This window comes from Homo sapiens, chromosome 22 (assembly GCF_000001405.40).
Source record: "Homo sapiens chromosome 22, GRCh38.p14 Primary Assembly".
NCBI lineage: Eukaryota > Metazoa > Chordata > Mammalia > Primates > Hominidae > Homo > Homo sapiens.
In genome coordinates this window covers 40,170,213-40,193,179 of record NC_000022.11, presented here as the reverse complement: position 1 = coordinate 40,193,179, position 22,967 = coordinate 40,170,213, and the positions used below count along the sequence as shown (strand labels likewise).

At 41.5% G+C, this 22,967-nt stretch overlaps 1 protein-coding gene across 3 annotated transcripts in view, besides 1 other annotated feature; it reads right to left on the bottom strand.

Annotated features, from left to right (window-relative positions):
* Positions 1-22,967, bottom strand: part of TNRC6B (trinucleotide repeat containing adaptor 6B) — a 290,975-nt gene that overhangs the window by 142,629 nt on the left and 125,379 nt on the right. For 2 of the 3 annotated variants that reach the window (NM_001162501.2, NM_015088.3), the window contains exon 1: positions 15,040-15,255. The exons of the other annotated variant lie outside the window; for it this stretch is intronic. In NM_001162501.2, the coding sequence (NP_001155973.1) occupies positions 15,040-15,044 (5 nt within the window). In that variant the 5' untranslated portion in view covers positions 15,045-15,255. Of the gene's footprint in view, positions 1-15,039; positions 15,256-22,967 lie in introns of those variants that run through there. 3 annotated transcript variants of the gene reach the window in all.
* Positions 15,367-15,416: an enhancer, noted in NCBI's record as "active region_19082". NCBI's record gives its function as "activates an Ori minimal core promoter by ATAC-STARR-seq in GM12878 lymphoblastoid cells {active_cell/tissue: GM12878}" and the evidence as "EXISTENCE:reporter gene assay evidence [ECO:0000049][PMID:35858748]".

The window sequence follows — 22,967 nt, the reverse complement described above, 5'->3', positions numbered from 1 at the left end:
ACAACAAGAAGCAGGATGAACAATGCGCTCGGCTGCTGGGACTCACTGCAGCCTGATGGATGCCAGTGCTCCTCAAGGCCAAATCTAACTGCCCTCATTCAGGGCTTCCCAAGCTGACCGCTGGGGCGCCGGCCCTAAAATCCTTCCTTTTCGGGTTTCTCTTGCACCATCCTTTTTCCTGTTCTCACCCTGCTCCTCTGAGCAACTCCTAAGGGAGCACTGTCACTCCCATGGCCTAAAGGACCACCTCTGCATGTAAGTAAATGGCTTCCAAGCTTCTGCCTTGAGCTCCAGACCCTTATTTCTGCCTGCCAAGTTATATTAAATGTCTGGCAAATCTAAACATGTCCAAAGCCAAACACATTGCCTTCTACCCCTGCTGTTCATCCCACCACATAGCCCAAACCCCTGCTCTACCCACTGACCGCCTACCCCAATTTGTGGCATCATCCCTTCCCCCAGCCTGGGGCTGATCTAGGATCCCTCCCTCTTTCTCACCATAGCTGATGGACTCATCCCACTTCGGAAGGAGCTCGAAAATCTGGTCTTTACTTTTTTTTTTTGAGGCAGAGTCTCGCTCAGTTGCCTATGCAGGAATGCAGTGGCTCGATCTCGGCTCACTGCAGCCTCCGTCTCCTGGATTCAAGCAATTCTCATGCCTCAGACTCCAAAGTAGCTGGGACTACAGGTGTGCACTACCATGCTTGGCTAATTTTTGTATTTTTAGTAGAGACGGGGTTTCACCACGTTGGCTAGGCTGTCTCCAACTCCCGACCTCAGGTGATCCACCCGCCTTAGCCTCCCAAAGTGCTGGGATTACAGGCATGAACCACCACACCCAGCCTGGTCTTTCCATCTTTATGGTCACTACCTTAATTTATGTTCTCCACTTGTCCCTCTTGCTTTGACTGCCTGTCCCTTCCACCGGATCCTTAACATGAAAATCAGTGGAGGCAAGTTTAGTTTTTAAAACTGCTTTCTACGGGATAAAATCCAAATTTCTGGGCCAGGCATAGTTGCTCACACCTATAATCACAGCTGGATCTTATCTCAGCACTTTGGGAGGGCAAGGTGGGAAAATCACTTGAGGTCAGGAGTTCGGGAGCAGGCTAGGCAAAAAAGCAAGATCCTATCTCTAAAAAATAAAAATAGGCTGGGCGCGGTGGCTCACGTCTGTAAGGCAGGTGGATCACTTGAGGTCAGGAGTTTGAGACCAGCCTGGCCAACATGGCGAAACCCCGTCTCTACTAAAAATACAAAAATTAGCTGGGCATGGTGGTGCATGCCTGTAATCCCAGCTACTGGGGAGGCTGAGGCAAAAGAATTGCTTGAACCCAGGAGGTGGAGGTTGCAGTGAGCTGAGATCGTGCCACTGCACTCCAGCCTGGGCAACAGAATGAGACTCTGTCTCTAAATAATTAAATAAATAAATAAGCTGGCCATGATGGCACACATTTGCAGTCTTAGCTACTCAGGAGGCTGAGGCAGGAGGATCACTTGAGCCCAGGAGTTCAAGGTCACAGTGAGCTATGATCACACTATTGCACTCCAGCCTGGATGACAGAGTGAGAACCTGTCTTGTTTAAAAAAATAAAAATAAAACAAATTTCTTAGAATACAAAACCAATCAAACTACAACTCCAAGCTACCCTTCTGCTCTCCTCCAAAGAGTTAACCCTTGTGCTCCACTAATATCTCACCATTTCCCACTCTCCCACTCACTCCCTAACTCTTTGTCCTTGTTTATTCTATTTCTTCTGCCTGAAACAGAGCAGGGAAGAGACCTGGGAAACATCCAATTCCAGTAATAACAATAATGAAAACAGTAGCTAACACTGACCCAAGCAACATGTTAAACACCTGAAACAAGTTCTCACTGAATCTTCACGATCACTCTTCAAGGTGGGTACTATTACTATCCCTTTACCAATGAGAAAACTGGGGCACACAAGATGGCACAGCTGCTCAACACTGGGCTGATCTGACCACACAGCTGTCCTGACTTCAGAACCTCAGTTCTAAACCACTCCACCACACCAAGCGACTCCCATCTGCCCATTAAGACCCAGCTCAGATGTTTCCTCCTTGGGGGAGACTTTCCCATTCCCTTCCTCTTCTCTATCCTCAAGGATTCCGAAGCGTCGTCTTTATTATGGGCAGCCTCATTGTGTGTCTGTCTGTTTGCATTACTGGTTGAGTTCCAAAGATAAAAACTAGGTCTTCTTACCTTCTTGTTTCCAGCACTATACAGTGCTCGACACATTAGATTTGTTCAATAAATACTGATGCAGTAAACACATCTTTCCAATCACACAGGACCTAGATTATACCAAGCTCCAATTCAAGTCTACCCAGCATGCCAATGCTTCCAAACACCCGACACAGCTAACCATAACCTCTCCTCTCCTCCCCTCTCTGCCCCAGCACTCTTCGAAAAGGAGAAGGAGCAGGCCTTGCTGGGGCAGCCACTCCCACAACCAGCTGATAGCATTATCACACCAGGGCAGGCCAGAGAGCTGCTGGCCATGGCCCTCCTGATTACAGGAGTAAAGTGCATCCAAGAAGCACCTTCTCTCCCTGAGACAGGGACAGAAGGGACATTTGATGTGGGGTTGCCAGATTTAAGGTCTTTGTCATTTAAAATGCAACAGCAGATGATGGACATAAAAATTAAAATGTACATAATATGACAGAAAATCTGCCATGGCCATTTTCATAACTCATGAAGAGCCAACAGGTTAAAATGTATACAAGTAACACAGATATGTAAGTTTTATAACCTACTTGCCATTTTACATAACCTCCAAGACTGAATCAGATAAATTTTGCTGTAAGTTTTGAGTACTATTCTAGATGCTACAACTGCTCAGCACCTAATGGAGTGGGCTTGGTTTTTCTTTTTTCAGACACGAATGTAGAATGGTTATCTGCTCACAGCATATTCAGATGGAACAAAGTAATTTTTTAAAAGGATGAGTCATGAAATCATTATCTTGGTAGTCAATAAATAAGAATGAAGGAAGGTAGTCCCAGACTTGAAATAAGGTTTATTCCTATGAGTGAGGCTAATAAAACCAGCCAGCACATACTTATTGTAATACATACTAAGAGATGGTCTATAATTAGGATGTGGTTCCCAAATGCCAAACTTTAGCACCTGTGATGATCTGTGGGAAAAAGGAAACAATGTAATCATTTTCATAAAGCTTTATTCAATTTAATGAGACGGCTCTTATTCTGAGACTGTTCATTCTACTTTTTTGTTAAAATTTTTTTTTCTTTGAAATGATGGTAACAAATGGTAAGTTTCAAAAATGCCTTTACTTGGCAAATTTCAACTCATGATGGACCCCAATGTGTCTTTTTCAACCTTACAGTTCCCTGAAACCGAAGTCTGGGAACCAACATATTAAAGTGTTTGAAGAGACCTGGGAAACACTCAATTCCAGTTTGCTTAAGACCCAGTTTTAGAAAGGGATAATTGAAATGGAAAGCTAATCAAGCATTTCCCCAAGTGGACACTAAAAAACAAAAACCTGGCACTTTGAAGATTTTATATACACATCACTAAGATTTCCAATGCACATTCCCACCCTAAAGACGTTAAGAAATCCTGTAGCAAGGAAAGGCCAGTTTAATTCACTTTAATTAGGAAAGAAACCTCTTTTTTTTTTTTTTTTTGGGCAGACAAATCTATTAGTACCCCAACAAACAGCGGGAAATGCTGAACTAATCAAATGTACTGAAGTGTGTTCTGAAAACAGAACATATTACTAGTTGAGAGATGTGCCTTCGTGAAACCTGGAAGCTGGAAGACAGCACAGCAGTGTTTTCCATGAGGCTTTTCCAAAAGAGAATACATAATCTGGTAGCTACAAAGGTGTTTCCCACTTCAGTTTCTCTAATATCTGGGGGAGAAAGTATAAACACATATTCATTTCTCAATATAAATATATCAATAGCCACTTCTCAGTATGGATGGCCAATTCGGTTTGATCAGAATGAGATACCCTGGACGGGGAAGACAACACTCTGGGCATCAAAAATATCCATCTTCTACTTGCTGAAGTAACAAATTAACGTTTTTTTAAAGTCACTAACAAATCTGGTTGATATGATAACTGAGTGGGACTGATAAATGATTCTTAGACCAGCAAAAGTGGGGATCATATGCTGAAATGGGGCAACTCATGAGTAGTGCCTTCTAAATGTTTTGAAACCATGGTAAGACAACCCTCAGTGATCATTAAATCAATTTAGTGGGTTGGAATTAGCTTGTTAGGGATTTGTTCTGTACCATACAAAGTGGACTTAAAAGACTGTATCTGACTACATACACTTATTATCAGAAAGTAAATACTTCTGTTTCAGCATAAACATTCACATGTCTATGGGTTTCAATACAAATTGAATTTTTTATAGTAGAGCCAATCAAAAAGTTTAAAAGCCACTGTTCTAAGCTACCTAATTATCTAACTAACTTCAGTTTATAAATGGGAACTTCTTGGCATTAAAAGAACAGCAATTATTTTCGGTAAGCAGAGGGGTAAAGGAAACAACGGCAAGAAGAGGCAGCAACTGATCACAAGCTTCGCTGCCCTGGGATCCTGGAGGGGAGCACACGCGATCACCTGCTAGGTCTCTGACCTTACTAAGGCATTAAAGGGCATTATTTCTGCTCACCACTATACAGTCTGGTTTTTATAAAAGCATAAATGAATAACCAAAATGCACTTCTAAAGAAAAACAAAAATGTAAGAAGTCATACTGATTAAACAAACAAAAAACAAGACTGAATAGCTGATATCCCAAACTCTGACAGGGCACTTCACAGAAAAATAAGCTTCTCTATGTCAACTGAAATGAAATCATGTAGTAACCAAAAACCAGCACTTACTCTCTCCAGTGTGAACAAGGTTTGATTCCAAGCAGGATTCAAGATCATTTCTTTATTTTGTTTTATTTTTTTTTGAGACACAGTGTTGCTCTGTCGCCCAGGCTGGAGTGCAATGGTGTGATCTCAGCTCACTGCAACCTCCGCCTCCCAGGTTCAAGCGATTCTCTTACCTCAGTCTCCCAAGTGGCTGGGATTACAGGCGCCCAGCTAATTTTTTGTATTTTTAGTAGAGACGAGGTTTCACCATGTTGGCCAGGCTGGTCTCAAACTCCTGACCTCAGGTGATCCACCCGCCTCAGCCTCCCAAAGTGCTGGGACTACAGGCGTGAGCCACCGTACCCGGCCAGATTCAAGATCCTTTCTATCTTTACTGGTTATCACTTAGATGGTCTAGTTAACAGCTGCAAAGCAGTCTCAATCAATGAGATAATTAAATGAAAATCTTTGAACCTGCTTTTTATAAACTGAAAAAACCCACCCATATTTAGTAAATATGCGTTCAATTGGCCCAGGTCGGCAAAAAGTACACAATGACTAAACGGGGCTAAACGGAGAAAAGTGAGATAAGAAAAGTGAGAGACAAGCACAACATAATTAGCCTGGTGGCACCCTCTCCCACCTCACACCTCCACCACACAGGGACGCTGGGACACTGACTTAAAGCAATCCTAACTTCATCCCCCCACCTGAAGCCACCACCTCACTGACTCCAGGGAGTGCAAAAGAAACTCACAAACAGTAACAGGAACGCTCCCACCCCTCCTGCTGGATCTGTTTTTAAGTGTAAGCCTCTGCACCAAGCATTTCAGAAACATGGCACAAACCGGTATGTTTAGGAACTTCTACCAATGTACCATTCTGCTGACTGTAGCCCAAACACTATTTCAAATTTTGGAATCTGTGTATTTTCATAAAAAGTTTGTCTCCTCACATTCAAAATTAGAGATTTGACCCTTCTAAATTCTAAAAATTCCACTAGGATAAGCCAACATGTATTCTAAGAAACACTAATCCTGTGAAATGCTTTGCGATGGTGCTAAACCATTTTGGGTATTTTCAGAGTGCACATCCGCTGTACAGTAGCCTATTTTACTTCGCATAACCCTCCCTGTGCTGTCCAACAGAGTAGCCGCACGTGGCTACTGTGCACTTGCAATGAGACTAGTGCCACTCAAACTGAATTTTTAACTGTATTTTAATTAATTTAAATTTAAAAACTGACATTTCCATTGCTGGAAAACTTTTTTATGTTTGGAAAAACGTGGGTATGTGAACCTACTTTTCCATGAAAAAGTAGTAAGTTTTATGAAATCTAAAAGCAAATCAAGTATTTCCAATGAAAATTTTATGTTTGAACTGAAATGTGTTGTAAGCCTAAGATACACACCAGGTTTCAAAGTCTTGGTACAAAAAAAACGTAAAATGTTGCGTTAACATTTTAAAATCAATAATATGTTGAATTAACAATATTTTACATAAATAAAGTCGATATTACTGAAATTAATTTCACTTATTTCTTTTTATTTTTAACTTTTTTTTTTTTTTGAGATGGAGTCTTGTTCTGTCACCCAGGCTGGAGTTCAGTGGCGTGATCTCGGCTCACTGCAACCTCAGCCTCCCAGGTTCAAGCAATTCTCCTGCATCAGCCTCCCAAGTAGTTGGGATTACAGGCATCCGCCACCACGCCCGGCTAATTTTTGTATTTTTAGTAGAGACGGGGTTTCACCATGTTGGCCAGGATGGTCTCGATCTCCTGACCTTGTGATCCGCTCACCTCGGCCTCCCAAAGTGCTGGGATTACAGGTGTGAGCCACCGTGCCTGGACTGTTTACTTTTTTAATGTGACTCCTGGAAAATTTAAAATAACACACGTGGCTTGCATTCTGTTCCTACTGGGCGGTGCTGGCGCCATCGAATGATTCCCATACCAACACTGGAACACCTCCCAACACCAGGTTCGGGAATGTTGCCATAACCAAATACTTTTCTTCCTGTGCAGCATTTGAACTGCTGCCCACACCTGTGATCGAACAGTTCTTCCCTCATCTTCTGTGATGAGGAATGACTGTCCTTCAGAGCCACCGTTCTTTTTATCCTTTCCCAGGTCCTCTTTCTCTTCCCGTCCCCAAGGTCTCATTCTCAGTTCTTTTTTCTATTCTTTACAGTCCCATGGTGACCTCATCCTCTCCCTTACCTTCGACTATCACTTCCACGTGGAAGCCTTCCAAGTCTTTATCTCCACTTCTGACCTCTTTCTCAAGCTGCAGATCCACACTGCCAGCTGCCTGCTAACCAGTTCCATTGCCAAGTCCCACCAAATTCTCCAATTCAGTAAGTCTGACCTGGAATGCGTCATCTTCCTTTTGGTTGAAGATTCCCATCATTCACCTTAAAAACCTGGTCCCTAGTTGCATGGCCATAGCCTTATAGCAGGACCTTTCATAACAGTCCTTTTATCCCCTAATTGGCCTGCCTGTCTCTCAATTCTTCCTTTAATCAGTGCCCCCCCACCAAGTCCTCCTCTGCACCACTGCCATATCAAAATTCTCACTGCACTGCCATCAAATTTTCAACAGGTCCCCACCGTCTACCATAGCAATACAAACTACTCAGCAGGCACTCAGCTCCTGTACACGTGTGCAACCTCCCCTCAATCCTCCCTGGACACACCTAGTCCTCCTCCACCTTACTCTAGCTAATACAGCCTGCCATGAGTCTACTCACCACCATTCTGCCCAATCTGTAGGGTTCCACTCAAATACAAAGTCCTCAACAAAGCTTTCTCTGATCAACACAGTTAAAATCAGTGTCTCTCCTCCCTCAAACTCCTTTGGTACTTCTAATAATCATTATGGTAATGAGAGTATATGGCCTTATCTTTATAAAATAGTACAGTATTCCCTTAATAGCACTGAACAGCACCTTGCACTGCATAGTACAGGTATGCCATCTTTGGACACCTTACCAAAGAAATCAACTTAAAAAGGAAAATCTTGCCAGGTGTGGTGGCTCACACCTGTAATCCCAGCACTTTGGGAGGCCGAGGTGGGTGGATCACAAGGTAAAGAGAACAAGACCATTTTGGCCAACATGGTGAAACCTCGTCTCTACTAAAAATACAAAAATTAGCTGGCCGTGGTGGCACATGCCTGTAATCCCAGCTACTCGGGAGGCTGAGACAGGAGAATCGCTTGAACCCGGGAGGCAGAGGTTTCAGTGAGCCAAGATTGTGCCACTGCACTCCAGCCTGGCGAGCAAGACTCCGTCTCAAAAAGAACAAAAAAAAATTTGGTAAATTTGGAACTACTGGTAACTCTTAAGTCTTTATCTCCAGACCGGACCTGTAATTACTCCAGCCTTTCACCTGGATATCTCAGGATTCAATGATTCCAAAACTGAACTCATAATCTCAACCCCACACCTGTGCCTCATCTAAATGCACCCTAACTCAACGAATGGTGGCACCATTCCCACAAGAAGCCAGGCAGAGACACAGGTGTTATTTTACATTTCTCCAACCCCATCTTCTCATACCCAATGACCAACTCCTCCAAAATCTTCCTAAATGCCTCTGGAACTCATTCATTTGTCCCCAACTCTGTTGTCAGTTCAGGCCACTATGACCTGAGATTACTACAGTATCATCTGGTCTGACGTGCAATGTCCCAGCCAGTTTCCACAACACACCAGAATCGTCTTTCAAAAATCCAATCTGAACAAGTGACTTTCCCACTTAAAACCCTTCAACTGTTCTCAGGAAAAAGACTTTCAAACGTGGCTTATACACTCTTCTGCATCTGGTCAAGGCTTAGTTTTTCAGCTTACCTCTCATTTCTCAGATTATTTCTTCCCTTAAGCACACGACACTCCAACCATGTCAAAGTACTCTCTATGCTGTTCCCCAAATATGCCAATGTCCACTAGTGCCCCGTGGTCTTTGCAGAAGCTGTTATCTCTCTAGGTGTCCACCCTTTTTAACCCCCCAACACCCTGAGCACCAGCCAGCCCCTTGCATCTATTCTCTAACTTCAGCAGTCGTGTCTGGAGAAAATCTTCACACTACTGCTAGGCTTGTACTTGTACTTATCAACACCTGGCATGTGAAAAGCACTCAGTAATTATTTGCAGAATGAATGAGTAAACAGATCATTTTCTAAGTTTTTTAAAAAACAAATTCCAACGTCAATGAATGAAAGCCATTTTTCTGTCACCCATATTAATTCAACAGCATTGTATAAAGTGGGCAATGGACCTAAATTTTCATTTTGCCCATTGAGTCAAAACTGGCTGTTGTGCACGGTGGCTCATGCCTGTAATCCCAGAACTTTGGGAGGCCGAGGCAGGTGAATCACAAGGTCAGGAGTTCGAGATCAGCCTGGCCAACATGCCGAAACACTGTATCTACTAAAATATACAAAAAATTAGCTGGGTGTAGTGGCAGGCGCCTGTAATCCCAGCTACTCGGGAGGCTGACGCAAAAGCATCGCTTGAACCCAGGAGGCGGAGGTTGCAGTGAGCAAAGATCACGCCACTGCACTCCAGCCCGGGCGACAGAGTGACTCCATCTCATATTAAAAAAAAAAAAACAACCTAGTAATAATTTAGTCAAATAAACAGAATTTACATGTGTGGGCCCAGAATAATCACAATGAGGGAGAAAACGCTGTATTCAATGTTCTCCTTTGCCTTGTAAACTCTAAGACCAATTCATTTGAAATTGCTGAGAACCTTCTGATGCAAAGCACAGAATGTATGAAAAACAGCCAAGTAAACGTGGATACAACACAGAGGCACAGCCTGAAGGAAACTGGAGAGTTATGAAGAGACGACATCAGACCACAGGAATGTAGGGACTTGAATAAAGAGAAAAGGCTCCGTGCTGCTCCTGTCCTTGTGCAGGCTAAAGCTCTGTGCAATCACTGTACAGGCTTCATGATCCTGGTAGCCATGAGAAAGAACAGAGCCATTCTGCGGGGCCATAAAAGCCTTTCTGGTTCATTCAACAAAGGGAGATACAGCAAAGGGGAAGGAAACACTTACTAAGCAACAAGACTAGGTGCCCAGCCCTCACATATAGCATTTCCTTTATGCGTCGCAACAATATATTATCCCCATTTTGCTGGTGAGGAAACGAGCCTACCATCGTCACACAGTGAGTCCTGGTGACCTTATACTCACACATTTTCACTCAACATCCACTCCTGCCAAGCCGTTCTAGATGTTGGGGATACAACAGTGAGGAAAACAGATAAGGTCTCTGCTTTCAGGAAACCGGATAGTATTGTGGAGACGTACCATACACAAATAATTTCAGATGGTGATACAATTTAGGAGTGTTAAAAAAGTAAAATTGAAGGATGTGATAAAATAACTAGGAAGGCAATTCCAGGTTGCAAAGTTCTCAGAGGTAATGCAAAAGATAATTTTGAAGAGATAGTGCACAGAGCTAAAGACAATGTTTAATAAAGTGACTATCAAGTCAAACCTTCAATGAAGTCTCCAAAACTACCAGAAGCAAAAAATTACCACTCATTCCCTGATTATCAGAAAAGATAACTAAGGAGTTATCTCAGTCATAACCTAAAGCAGTAAGTTATATAGTTAGTCACCAGATGGCAAGTATTTCCACATGAACCAAACTATTGAAGGCAATGGGCCAACCAAATTAATTCTTAGATGCCCCAGCACCTACATCAGTGCTTAATAAATTACTGCTGAACAAATATATGACGGAAAGAAGAAAACAATGTTAAGATGTCACTGCCATGAGTTAAATAAATCCCTTTTCTGGCCAAGTGGCTTCAATTCACTCCACCCTACCCCTGACACCCGTCTTAATCACAAGCAGGTGAGGAAAGTGGGATTAGAGTAAATCCACGAACAATACTGTACAGAGAAACAATTAGCATATGCTGTCCCTCTCCCCAGCCACCAGACAGAAACAAGTTCCACTTAAAGAAGTCTAATATCTAAATAACTAAAAATTATTAAATGGGGTAATTATTTGGCTTTTTTTTCTTTTCTTTTCTTTTTTTTTTGAGACGGAGTCTCCCTGTACTGCCCAGGATGGAGTGCAGTGGCACAATCTCGGCTCACTGCAACCTCCGACTCCTGGGTTCAAACGATTCTCCTGCCTCAGCCTCCCGAGTAGCTGGGATTACAGGCAGGCGCCACCACCCTTGGCTAGTTTTTTTGTATTTTTAGTAGAGACAAGGGTTCACCATATTGTCCAGGCTGGTCTCGAACTCCTGACCTCGTATCCACTCACCTCGACCTCCCAAAGTGCTGGGATTACAGGCGTGAGCCACCACGCCCGGCTGGCTTTTTTTTTTTTCTCTCGAGACAGGGTCTAGCTGTTTCCTAGGCTGGAATGCAGTGGCACGATCTTGGCTAACTGCAGTGTCAACATCACTGGCTCAAACTATCCTTTCACCTCTCAGCCTCCTGAGTAGTTGAGATGACAGGCGTGAGCCACCATGCCCAGCTAATTTTGTTTAAAATTTCTTGTAGGGACAGGGTTTTGCCATGTTGCCCAGGCTGGTCTCAAACTCCTGAGCTCAAGCAATCAGCCTGCCTGGGACTCCCAAAGTGATCACAGGCGTGAGCCACCACGACTGGCCTATTTGGCTTCTTTAAGAAATTTTAAAACAAGGACCCTCCTAATGCAGATACTCAGATACTTCTGTAACCAGGAACTTGCTCTGAATATTGCACATAAACTGCCAAGTTGTGACGATCTGTTTACCAATAATGCTGACCTGGTACTCCTTGAGGAAAGGGACAAAGTACATTCATCTATCTGCATTGCCTCAGGGCTGTGTCCAGCTTAAACTGCAGATGATCAATGATTATATGATCTGAGTTATAAAAATTAAAATCTTTCCAAACTTTTCAGTCATGGAGCAGCTGGGTAGGGTGAGGAGCAGCTGGGTAGGGTGAGGACCACCCTTATTCCTCAGGGTGGTCCTCAATAGCCAGAGCTGCTCAGCCTGCTCTGCAGAACCTGAAGGTCTCATCATCGCATAACACTCTTCTAGTGTCTCTTGTAGAGCTGAAGAGCTGGAGAAGCCTTAGAAGTCTCTGCTTCAATGTTCGGAAGTTTATTTTTAAAGGACCATCCGAGTGGCCACACAGAATAACAAATGGCCATTCACAGCTGAAGAACAGAGCTGAGTTTGCACCATATATCAAAGATGCCAAAGCTTCCTTTCTGGGAACCAGATGGAATGACTGAAAAGCACTTTAAAATTGAGATACCACTTCTGATGAACGCTACCAATTTTTGTGATCTTTCAGTCATGAACCTGTGACATTTTTTTCTGAGACAGAGTAATGTTGTGATATTATCACTAGTTGATCCAGCATTAGGAAATATAGATTGGTGGGGGGGGTGGCAGTTAATAGGGATTATATTCACTTTCTCCAATAAGAAACTTCCTCTGCATATGCCATCTCATTTTTAAAAAGTAAAACTACAACGTGCAAGTTCCAGCACCCCTGGATATTGCTCTTCATAACATCGGCCACATCTTTAAAGTTTTTAAAGCTTCAATTCACAGTACTCACAGAAAGAAAACTTCAACAGAAGGCACAAATTAAATACTATCCATCTGCACACTTAATTGATTACTCATTTTCATTTCCTTCTGGATGACCATCGTGTTGGTGAGCCAGAAGGATTGGCTCTGCAGGATCTGAGATCCAAAATGGCAGTCGAGCTATCAACTCACCAGAGCCATAATGCTTCCCATACGTGAAGCCAGGTCTTATTTATCTCACCTTTTAATTATCCAGGGGAAAAGAATATTTATAAAAAACATTTCAAAGAATCAAATGGCATTCATTGTATCATTCTCTGTTCTGCCTAAGACAGCAGGTACCCTGCTCTGGTTCCTCCTCTCTGCAAACTGAATTAACCTGCCATTCATATGTTTACACAGCCACAAAAACAAGATAATGGCAAAACATGGAAAGCCTAGGTTTTATCTCCTCTTCAGTAAGACCAACTTTAGGAAATAGGTGTAAAATGAATCATATAACAAGCAAAGCCCCAAAAAAGTGCTTTCATTTTCAGAAAAACAGCAACAAAAATCAGAGCTGATTTTCCTTTAGGTCTACCACAATGCAACATTCTCTATCACTAAGGTAATTTCTCTATCTTTTCCCTTTAAATTCAAGCCGTAAAAAAATTTAGAGACAACTTTGTTCCAGACTACCTCTTTAATGTAATGTTTCCAATCCTTCTTACACAAAAGCTGAATTTATATCATCAAAAAATTTACAGTGAATCTAAACAGTCACTTCTGTATTTATTACCATTACTAACATAACAACATTAATTTTTTAAAATAATAAAATCCTTGCTTGTTAGAGACAGAGGGCTTTAATTATCTTATGTATTCAAATGGAAAGTCTTTTTGTTAAATTAGCGTGAAAGTCCCTTCATCTACACACAATTGGCCCAAAGAAACAGGCCATTTTCAGCACAAGAGGCCAATCCATTTTAAGAGTGAATAAAGCTTTTGAAAGCACCACACACCCTCTTCCAGACTGTCAAATTTTCAAAATGGTCCAGCATTTTTTCCACTTTATCTTTTTTAACACTTTCAGGCCCAGTAAGCATCTCATAATTAGATTAATTAAAAAGGAAACAACAAAAAACACTGCTCCCTTCTGATCAAAATTATTCCATTTATGCTTAATTAGCTTTAATCCACGTCTACATATTTAATGATGGGGATATGACAATTCAACCCATTTGCATATTTTAAATGCCTTTTCTAAACTATACTTTGTAACAGATTTAGAAGAACAGTCTCTTTCTCATGCCAATATGCCACAGCATAAATCAGGAGGATACAAATTAGGAAAAAAAGAGAAAAGAAAACAAGGCCTCTCAGAGCCAGGGATGTGCTCAGGGGGGTGGAGTAATTTACCCAGGGGTGGGGGCAATTTACCCGCCACATCACAAACTACAATCCTTTCAGCCCACCAGACCGAGAAGCATTACATCACACTCTCACAATGATAGGGGGAGGAGGCTCTGAGAAAGCAAGTTTTCAGCTTTCTTTCCTCCCTGCTCTCAGGCTTCCAGAATCCTGCATTAGGAGTAATGGAATTTAACTTCAGGCACTGCACAGCTTCAGGGGTTACTAACAATCACATAGACTGCTACTTATACATGTGACCCTAAATGACCACTTCGCAGTGGATACATGGCCGAAACAGGCAACCACACACTCACACGATGAATTTATGCTGAAAAACTCAGTTTTGCATCTGTGTAAAATTAAACAAAAATTTTATTTCGTGAGGAATGAAGAAGGCTAATACACAGGGAGAACTGATAAAGAAATAATTTCTAATCGCGGTGAATAGCTGTTCATATCTTTAAAACACCATGTTTACAACATAGTCCTACCCTTTGGTTGAATCCAGGATCAAAATAAAAGCGCATCTGGCTGCACATTTGAGAACACACACAGAGACCCAGTGCAAATGAGCGCGCGCAGAAAGGAGAGGGGTGAGCCACATATTGCTTGGGAGGTTTTCAAGCAGGGGAATCTACAAACCCCAAACCTCCTGGTGTTCACCCGCCCCCAACCTGATGTTTAAAATGTATTAGGTCTTACTTTAGGTTTTACATCTCTCTAGGAAGGAGGGCCCAGTTTAAAAAATAAAAAGATAGAAAAAGGCTTTCCCGTTCTAGGGCTTGCCCTCCCAGATCCTTTGTCGGCCTTAGCAGCCGAAAGAATGCAAACCCATTTATATTTATGCAAATTTTTGCAGCAGATTTAAGGGGGGAGGGGGAGGTCTGTGTTTTTTAAAAACCTCTTTCTAAATAGCAAATTTCCAATTACTCGCAGCTTCATTTATTGCAAGATAGAAACGATGATGAAAATCTGCATATACATTAAAAGTGCAATTAAATCACTTCAAAATCTAAATATTTTACCACGTCTTTTCCATTTCTAAAATGCCGAACCAAAGTACATCACGGGTCTGATTTACACAGATCCACGAAATGTCTGAAGCCAGTCTCCATGCTAGACAAATGTCGATTTGCAACACCACCAGTGAAAACGGTTAGACAAGATCCATATAAATCAATTGGTTAAAAAAAATTGAAAATATTTACCAACCTCATAAAGTGCAGCAGTGCTTAAATCCAGCAAATTGAGGCATACAAGGTAGAAATGGAAATGAAAAAAGGTCCAAAAAATGAATTCTTTTTGTCTATCTGTTTTTTTGTATTTTAAATATTCAGAAACCAGCAGAGACTCTGTCGGCCATTTTGGCTTGAACTAACTCTCTCTCACACACTCTCCCTCTTGCTCTCTCTCTCCCTCTCTGTCTCTAAAGGAAGCAGCTTTTTGTGACCTTCAAATAGAGGCAGATCATGTGACTTCGGGTAGGTTTGTCAATCAGGAAAGGGGAGGGAGCTGGAGCTGAGACTGCCTTAAAGGGGAAGCAGCCCTTTTCCACTCACTTTCATTTGTGAAATGCTGTTATCTCATACTCTCCGCCTACAGACACTGCATGTGAAAGTGGCAACAGCATAAGGGTAACAGATGAACAAAACAGAAAAACCTTTATTGGTTTATAGAAATATGCTCAGTTGCTAACGATTCTTACAGCTCCTGGATCTTCTCCTGGCTCGCTTGCTAGTTATTCTCTAGATGTTTGGGCAAGCACAGGCTGGCAAACTGCTCTGTAAAAGGGGCTGAAACACAGCTCTACCAAACAAGAGGCTTTAGCTTTGAAAGAATGAGGTGAAATACAGGGCACGACTGATCTCTAAGAAACTCCTAAAATGTATAGAAAAAGACTGAAAGAAACGCACAAAAGTATAAACTGAACTGCAATTCAGAAAGGTTAAGTGACTTATCCCAAATCACACAGCTGAACAGCTGCAGAAGAGGGACTGGTTTCCCAATTCTGAACTCTACACTTATTGTTTTGCCTGTATGTGTGTTCAGTACCTCCTCCCCCAAACCCAAATAAAAACTATGCTTCAGCACTGCAAACGGAGTTTCTCTGGGCTAGGGCAGGTCTGAGTCATCTTTAATCCCCTCCCCCACCGCAGGAGGTAGCTCTGCAGCTGAGGGAGCCTAGGCACTAAATTAAAACCTACCTGGTTTCCACCACTCCTAATCCCTTCTCCTTCGCATATACATCTCCACTCCTACCCACTTAAGAAACCCAAGCTCGGTTTGCATCTCCAGCCCCCGCGGCTCACAGGCCGTGTAACTTCACTGCTAACAGCAAGTAAGTAAGTCCCTTACCCATCCTCCCACCCTGCCTGGCCTCCGTTTTCTCATTGGTAGCCGGCGGAGATTGGGCTTCCCTAGATGGTATCTTTGGTTTCTTTCACCTCTGAAACTCTGCACTTGGCTTCTTTGAGTAGTTCTGTTCATCTTTTCCTGGCCATCTCAAAAGTTCGCCTCCACCCTGGGAAGGCTTCTTGACCCTCGCAGTCCAGACCAGGCCCTCCTGTTAACACTCCCATAATATCCTTTACTACTTCTTCAGAGCAATGGTCATAATTGCAATTTATGAAAGAATGTGCTTAACATTAGTCTTCCCCAGGAGACTGTAAACTGTATAAGGAAAAACACCACGTCTTCACTGCTCTGTGAGGCTCCACACCAAACACCACATAGGAGGTAAATAAATGAATAAATCAATGACTTGGACCCTATTCAGAAGGGCTGGGCTGAGTAGGAGGAAATCTGCCACCTGAATATAAAAAATGTAGGGGAATGAGGGTCACATAGTTCCCAGAAACTCGCATTCATCTATGTTTTAAGGACGGCTTCAGGAAAGAAAGTAACTAAAATGGTAAAAAGCGCATGAGGCCGGGTGCGGTGGCTCATACCTGTAATCCCAGCACTTTGGGAGGCCGAGGCAGGCAGATCACCTGAGGTCGGGAGTTCGAGACCAGCCTGACCAGCATGGAGAAACCCCGTCTCTACTAAAAATACAAAATTAGCCAGCGTGGTGGCACATGCCTGTAATCCCAGCTACTAGGGAGGCTGAGCTTAGCAGGAGAATCGCTTGAACCCGGGAGGCGGAGGTTGTGGTGAGCCGAGATCGCGCCATTGCACTCCAGACTGGGCAGCAAGAGTGAAACTCCATCTCAAAAAAAAAAAAAAAAAAAGTGCATGAGAATGCCCTGTGACTATCGACTCCACCTATCTCTATAAGCCAGAAAAGGGAGGATTCCCTAGTGTGCTTCTCCCATAAACTAGGCTGCCATGCCAGCCAGCAGACAACTGATGGATTCTAGAAACCCGGCTTTCCTTGAAAAGGAACCTACGAATGCTTGTAAAATCCCACAACACTTGTTGTCATCCTGGCTTCTGGGTCTTTATACAGTCTCCCGCCTTTGCTCTTTCCACTCAGATATGACGACAGGAAAGGAGCTGTTTCATGGCAGGCAAAGGCCAATGCCTGGACAATCTGGTAGCCTGAATAGCTGTGGCTTAACAAGCTTCCACTGTCTTTGCCTAGCACTGAGTGAAATAGCCAGGCCCTGCACTGACAATTGAGATGCAGGAAAAAGCAGGAAACTACTAGAATGGAAATTCTGATTATTTAGTCTATTTTTATCCTTCCAATACCTTCCAGATGAGTTACTGAAAGCCTACTTGCTTGTAGCTGGCTCGATTTGTAAAAATGTGTGGAGACTGAACATCCACCTTGTTTTAATTTGTGATGGACATGCTTTCTTTATGAAACTGAACTTTGCTAAGTCTCCATTCCCCAGTGTAGAATATTATTGTATACAAATATTTATATGTGTTGCCTTGTAAGTGTTAAATAGCAAACTGCATGAAAAGTTTGGAAACAGAACAAACATATTTTAAATAAAATATTGGTTCTAATTTCAAATAATATGCTGAAAACATATATATATATATTTTGAGACAGAGTCTTGCTCTGTCACCCAGGCTGGAGTGCAGTGGCATGGTATCGGCTCACAGGAACCTCCACCTCCTGGGTTCAAGCGATTCTCCTGTCTCAGCCTCCTGAGTAGCTGGGATTACAGACACATGCCACCATGCCCAGATAATTTTTGTATTTTTAATAGAGACAGGGTTTCACCATGTTGGCCAGGCTGGTCTCGAACTCCTGACCTCGTGATCTGCCCACGTCAGCCTCCCAAAGTGCTGAGATTACAGGCATGAGGCACTGCGCCCGGCCACTGAATATTTTTTCCTTAACCTCCACATCATCTTTTCTATGCAATACCTCTAAATTTAATACAATTAGTCTAATCGTTTATCTAAAACAAACAAGTGCAATAAATACATTATTTCTCCCTTGTGTTTCCAGACATAATAGATTCTGTGATAGATTTATTATACTTTTTTCATATTAACAATTAGACAATATTTTAAAATTATATTATTGTAAGGTAAGGACACAAAGAAATAAATTTTTTTTTTTTTTTTTGAGATGGAGTCTCGCTTTGTCGCCCAGGCTAGAGTGCAGTGGTGCTATCTCGGCTTACTGCAAGCTCCGCCTCCCGGGTTCACGCCATTCTCCTGCCTCAGCCTCCCGAATAGCTGGGACTATAGGTGCCTGCCACCACGCTCGGCTAATTTTTTTGTATTTGTAGTAGAGACGGGGTTTCACTAAATCACCTCGTGATCACCTCGTGATCTGCCGGCCTCAGCCATAAAAATTATTTTCTAAAACTAAAAACAAGAACATTCAAATGACTGTTATCTTTCAAAGCTGGCACCTTTGGAGGTTACATACCATTCCTCAAAATATTTTTATCAGAAAACATGATTGGCCAGGCATGGTGGCTTATACCTGTAATCCCAGCACTTTGGGACGCCGAGGTGGGTGGATCACTTGAGGCCAGGAGTTCGAGACCAGCTTGGCCAACATGGCAAAATCCCGTTTCTACTAAAAATAACAAAAATTAGCTGGGCATGGTGGCACACGCCTGTAGTCCCAACTACTCAGCAGGCTGAGGCTCAAGAATCACTTGAAGCCAGAAGGTGGAGGCTGCAGGTTGCAGTGAGCTGCAGTGAGCAAGGTCGTGCCACTACCCTCCAGCTGGGGCAATAGAGCAAAACTCTGTCTCTAAAAAAAAAAAGAAAAAGAAAAAGAAGAAAACAAGATTGAAAAATAACTGAACTGAGTATTTAACTCAAAAATCTAGAAAAAGGCTGGGCGTGGTGGCTCACGCCTGTAATCACAGCACTCTGGGAGACTGAGCCAGGCAGATCACCTGAGGTCAGGAGTTCAAGACCAGCCTGGCCAACATGGTGAAAACCCAACTCAAAATACAAAATTTAGCTGGGCATGGTGGTACCTGCTGGTAATCCCAGCTACTTGGGAGGCTAAGGCAGGACAATTACTTGAACCTGGGAGATGGTGGTTGCAGTGAGCTAAGATCATGCCACTGCACCCCAGCCTGGACAACAGAATGAGATTCTGTCTCAAAAAAAAAAAAAAAAAAAAAAAAAAAATATATATATATATATATATGTTCAAAAATCTAGAAAAAGAGTTAATAAACCCCAAAAATGAATAAATATAAAAGCAAGGCTGGCCATGGTGTTGACTCATGCCTGTAATCCCAGCACTTTGGGAGGCCAAAGTTAGAGGTTTACTTGAGCCCAAGAGTTTGAGACTGGGCAACAAACATAGTGAGATCTCGCCTCTACAAAAAAATAAAAAAAGTCAGCCAGGCTTGGTGGGGTATGCCTGTGGTCCTAGCTACTCCGGAGGCTGAGCTGAGATCACGCCACTGTACTCCAGCCTTGGTGACAGATTATATATATATCTGTTTTGTTGTTTTTGGCACAGATATAAAGTAACAGCCAAAAAAAAAAAAAAAGAGTAAACTGAATTAATAAAAACAAAAACTAGGCCAGGCGTGATGGCTCACACCTGTAATTCCAGTACTTTGGGAGGCCGAGGGTGGATCACGAGGTCAAGTGATCAAGACCATCCTGGTCAACATGGTGAAACCCCGTCTCTACTACAAATACAAAAATTAGCCGGGCGTGGTGGCACGCACCTGTAGTCCCAGCTACTCGGGAACCTGAGGCAGGAGAATTGCTTGAATCCGCGAGGTGGAGGTTGCAGTGAGCGGAGATCACCAGTAGAGCGAGACTCCATCTCAAAAAAAAACCAAAAAACAAAACCAAAAACTATATTTTGTTTTAAAACACTAAATAAATGTAGATAATTCTGTCAAAAATCTGATCAATTGAAAGAGAGAAGTCACAAACATTAGGGCTGAGAAAGAGGATATCATAACTGCAGATTTAGAGAAAATCTTTTAACTCATGCTAGAATTATATGTAACTTTACATAAATAAACTTGAAGATTAAATAAGATGGATGATAGTCAAAGAAAACAGAAGTTACCAAAATCAACTCAAGAAAAATTAGGGGAACAACAACCCAGAGCAGAAATCTCTAAGATCTTCAAAGAATGAGCCACTAAGACAACAGCAAGCCCAATTTTCTAGGTGAATGCTATCTAACTCTTATTGAACAGATAATTTCCACGTTATCCTTACTGTTCCAGGAGGTGTAAGGATAAAAGGAAAAGCTTCCTACTTTCTTCCATGAGGATAACATATTCTTGATATGAATTTAGACTAAGATGGTACAAAAAATAAAACTAAACTAATGTTCACTTGTGAAGACAGATGCAAAAATACTAAGTAAAATATTATCAGACAGAACTGAGTAGTTTTAAGAGAATAATTCATTATGACCACATAGGCTTTACACCAACAACACTACACCAACAATACAAGGATGGTTAAATTACAACGATACAGGGACAGTTAAACTAGCTACTAACATTAATCTTCATTTGTTCAATAAATATGTACTAAGTACTTTCCCTATCAGACTCTGTGCTAAGTGCTAGGGATGCAGCAGTGAAGCAGAAGGTTCTCGTCTATATGGAGCTGACATCCTCATAGGAGAAGGAACTCACTGAGAAGGGAATAAGCAGTTTGACAGGATATAGAATAACTGAGAGAGGCTCACTTTAGATAAGGTGCACAGGGAAGGCTTTTCTCAGGAGCAACATTTAAGCTGAGTTGAAAAGCAGATGTTTAGGCCGGGCATGGTGGCTCATGCCTGTAATCCCAGAACTTTGGGAGGCTAAGGCAGGCGGATCTCTTGAGGTCAGGAGTTCGAGGCCAGCCTGGCCAACATGGTGAAACCCCCATCTCTACTAAAAATACCAAAAAAATAAAAATTAAAAAAAAATTAGCTGGGCATGGTGGTGTGCCTGTAATCCCAGCTACTTGGAAGGCTGAGGTGCGAGAATCACCTGAACCCAGGAGGCGGAGGCTGCAGTGAGCTGAAATGGTGCTACTGCACTCCAGCCTGGGCAACAGAGAGGTACTCCATCAAAAAAAAGAAAAGAGAAAGAAAAGCAAATGTTTGAGTGGTCAATAAACAAGAGAAATGATCAGGAGGCTAGGACCTGGGAGCAGGGGATAGAGGCATGAAATGAATCTCAAGAGGTAGGAAGAGCTAGATCATACTAAGTTCTTCAGTCCACAGTAAATATTTCACTTTTGGAATAGTGGAAAGTCACAAAAGAGTTTTCAGCAGGAAAAGAAAACAGCGCCATTTTATCCATTAGTTGCTTTCCACTGAATGCCTAGGGTCCATAAGCTTTTCAGAGACTTAGAAAAATGTTTGGGATCTAAAAAAAAATACAAGTTCAAAATACAAACAAAAAATTTTGACCACAAAAATTAATAAATGCTTAAATGTCCTTTATAACCACTCAGCAGTCCCATTCATTGTTAAATTTAGCATTTATGGCCGGGTGCGGTGGCTCACGCCTGTAATCCCAGCACTTTGGGAGGCCGAGGCAGGCGGATCACAAGGTCAGGAGATCGAGACTATGCTGGCTAACACAGTGAAACCCCATCTCTACTAAGAATACAAAAAATTAGCCGGGTGTGGTAGCATGCACCTACAGTCTCAGCTACTCGGGAGGCTGAGGCAGGAGAATCGCTTGAATCCGGGAAGCGGAGGTTGCAGTGAGCCGAGATTGCGCCACTGCACTCCAGCCTGGGTGACAGAGCGAGACTCTGTCTCAAAAAAAAAAAAAAAAAAAAAAATTAGCATTTATAAAATGTTCATCACATTTGAAAACAATTCTCACCTTGCAAAAATTCCTATACATACATATATATAAACATACATATATAGATACATGTATGTGTATATATATATACACCTATATAGGTGTATATGTCATATATAGGTATATGTGTATATATATACACATATATGTACATATACAGGTATATGTGTGTATATATACACCTATATGTACATATATGGGTGTATATATACACACATATATGCACATATATAGGTATATATGTATACACACATATATGTACATATATGTATATATACACACATATATGTACATATATGTATATACACACACATATATGTACATATATGTATATATACACACATATATGTACATATATGTATATATACACACATATATGTACATATATAGATATATACACCTATATATGTATGTTTATATATGTATGTATAGGAATTTTTGCAAAGTGAGAATTGTTTTCAAATGTGATGAACATTTTATATACATATATGTATGTATGTTCATATATGTATGTATAGGATATATATAAACTATATATAATATATATATAAACTATATATATAATATATATAAACTATATATATAATATATATATAAACTATATATATAATATATATATAAACTATATATATAATATATATATAAACTATATATATAATATATATATAAACTATATATATAATATATATATAAACTATATATATAATATATATATAAACTATATATATAATATATATATAAACTATATATATAATATATATATAAACTATATACATAATATATATATAAACTATATATAATATATATAATATATATAAAATATATATTATATATATATATTTTTTTCCCCCTTGAGATAGGGTTTCGCCCTGTTGCCCAGACTAGAATGCAGCAACACGAACATGGCTCACCACAGCC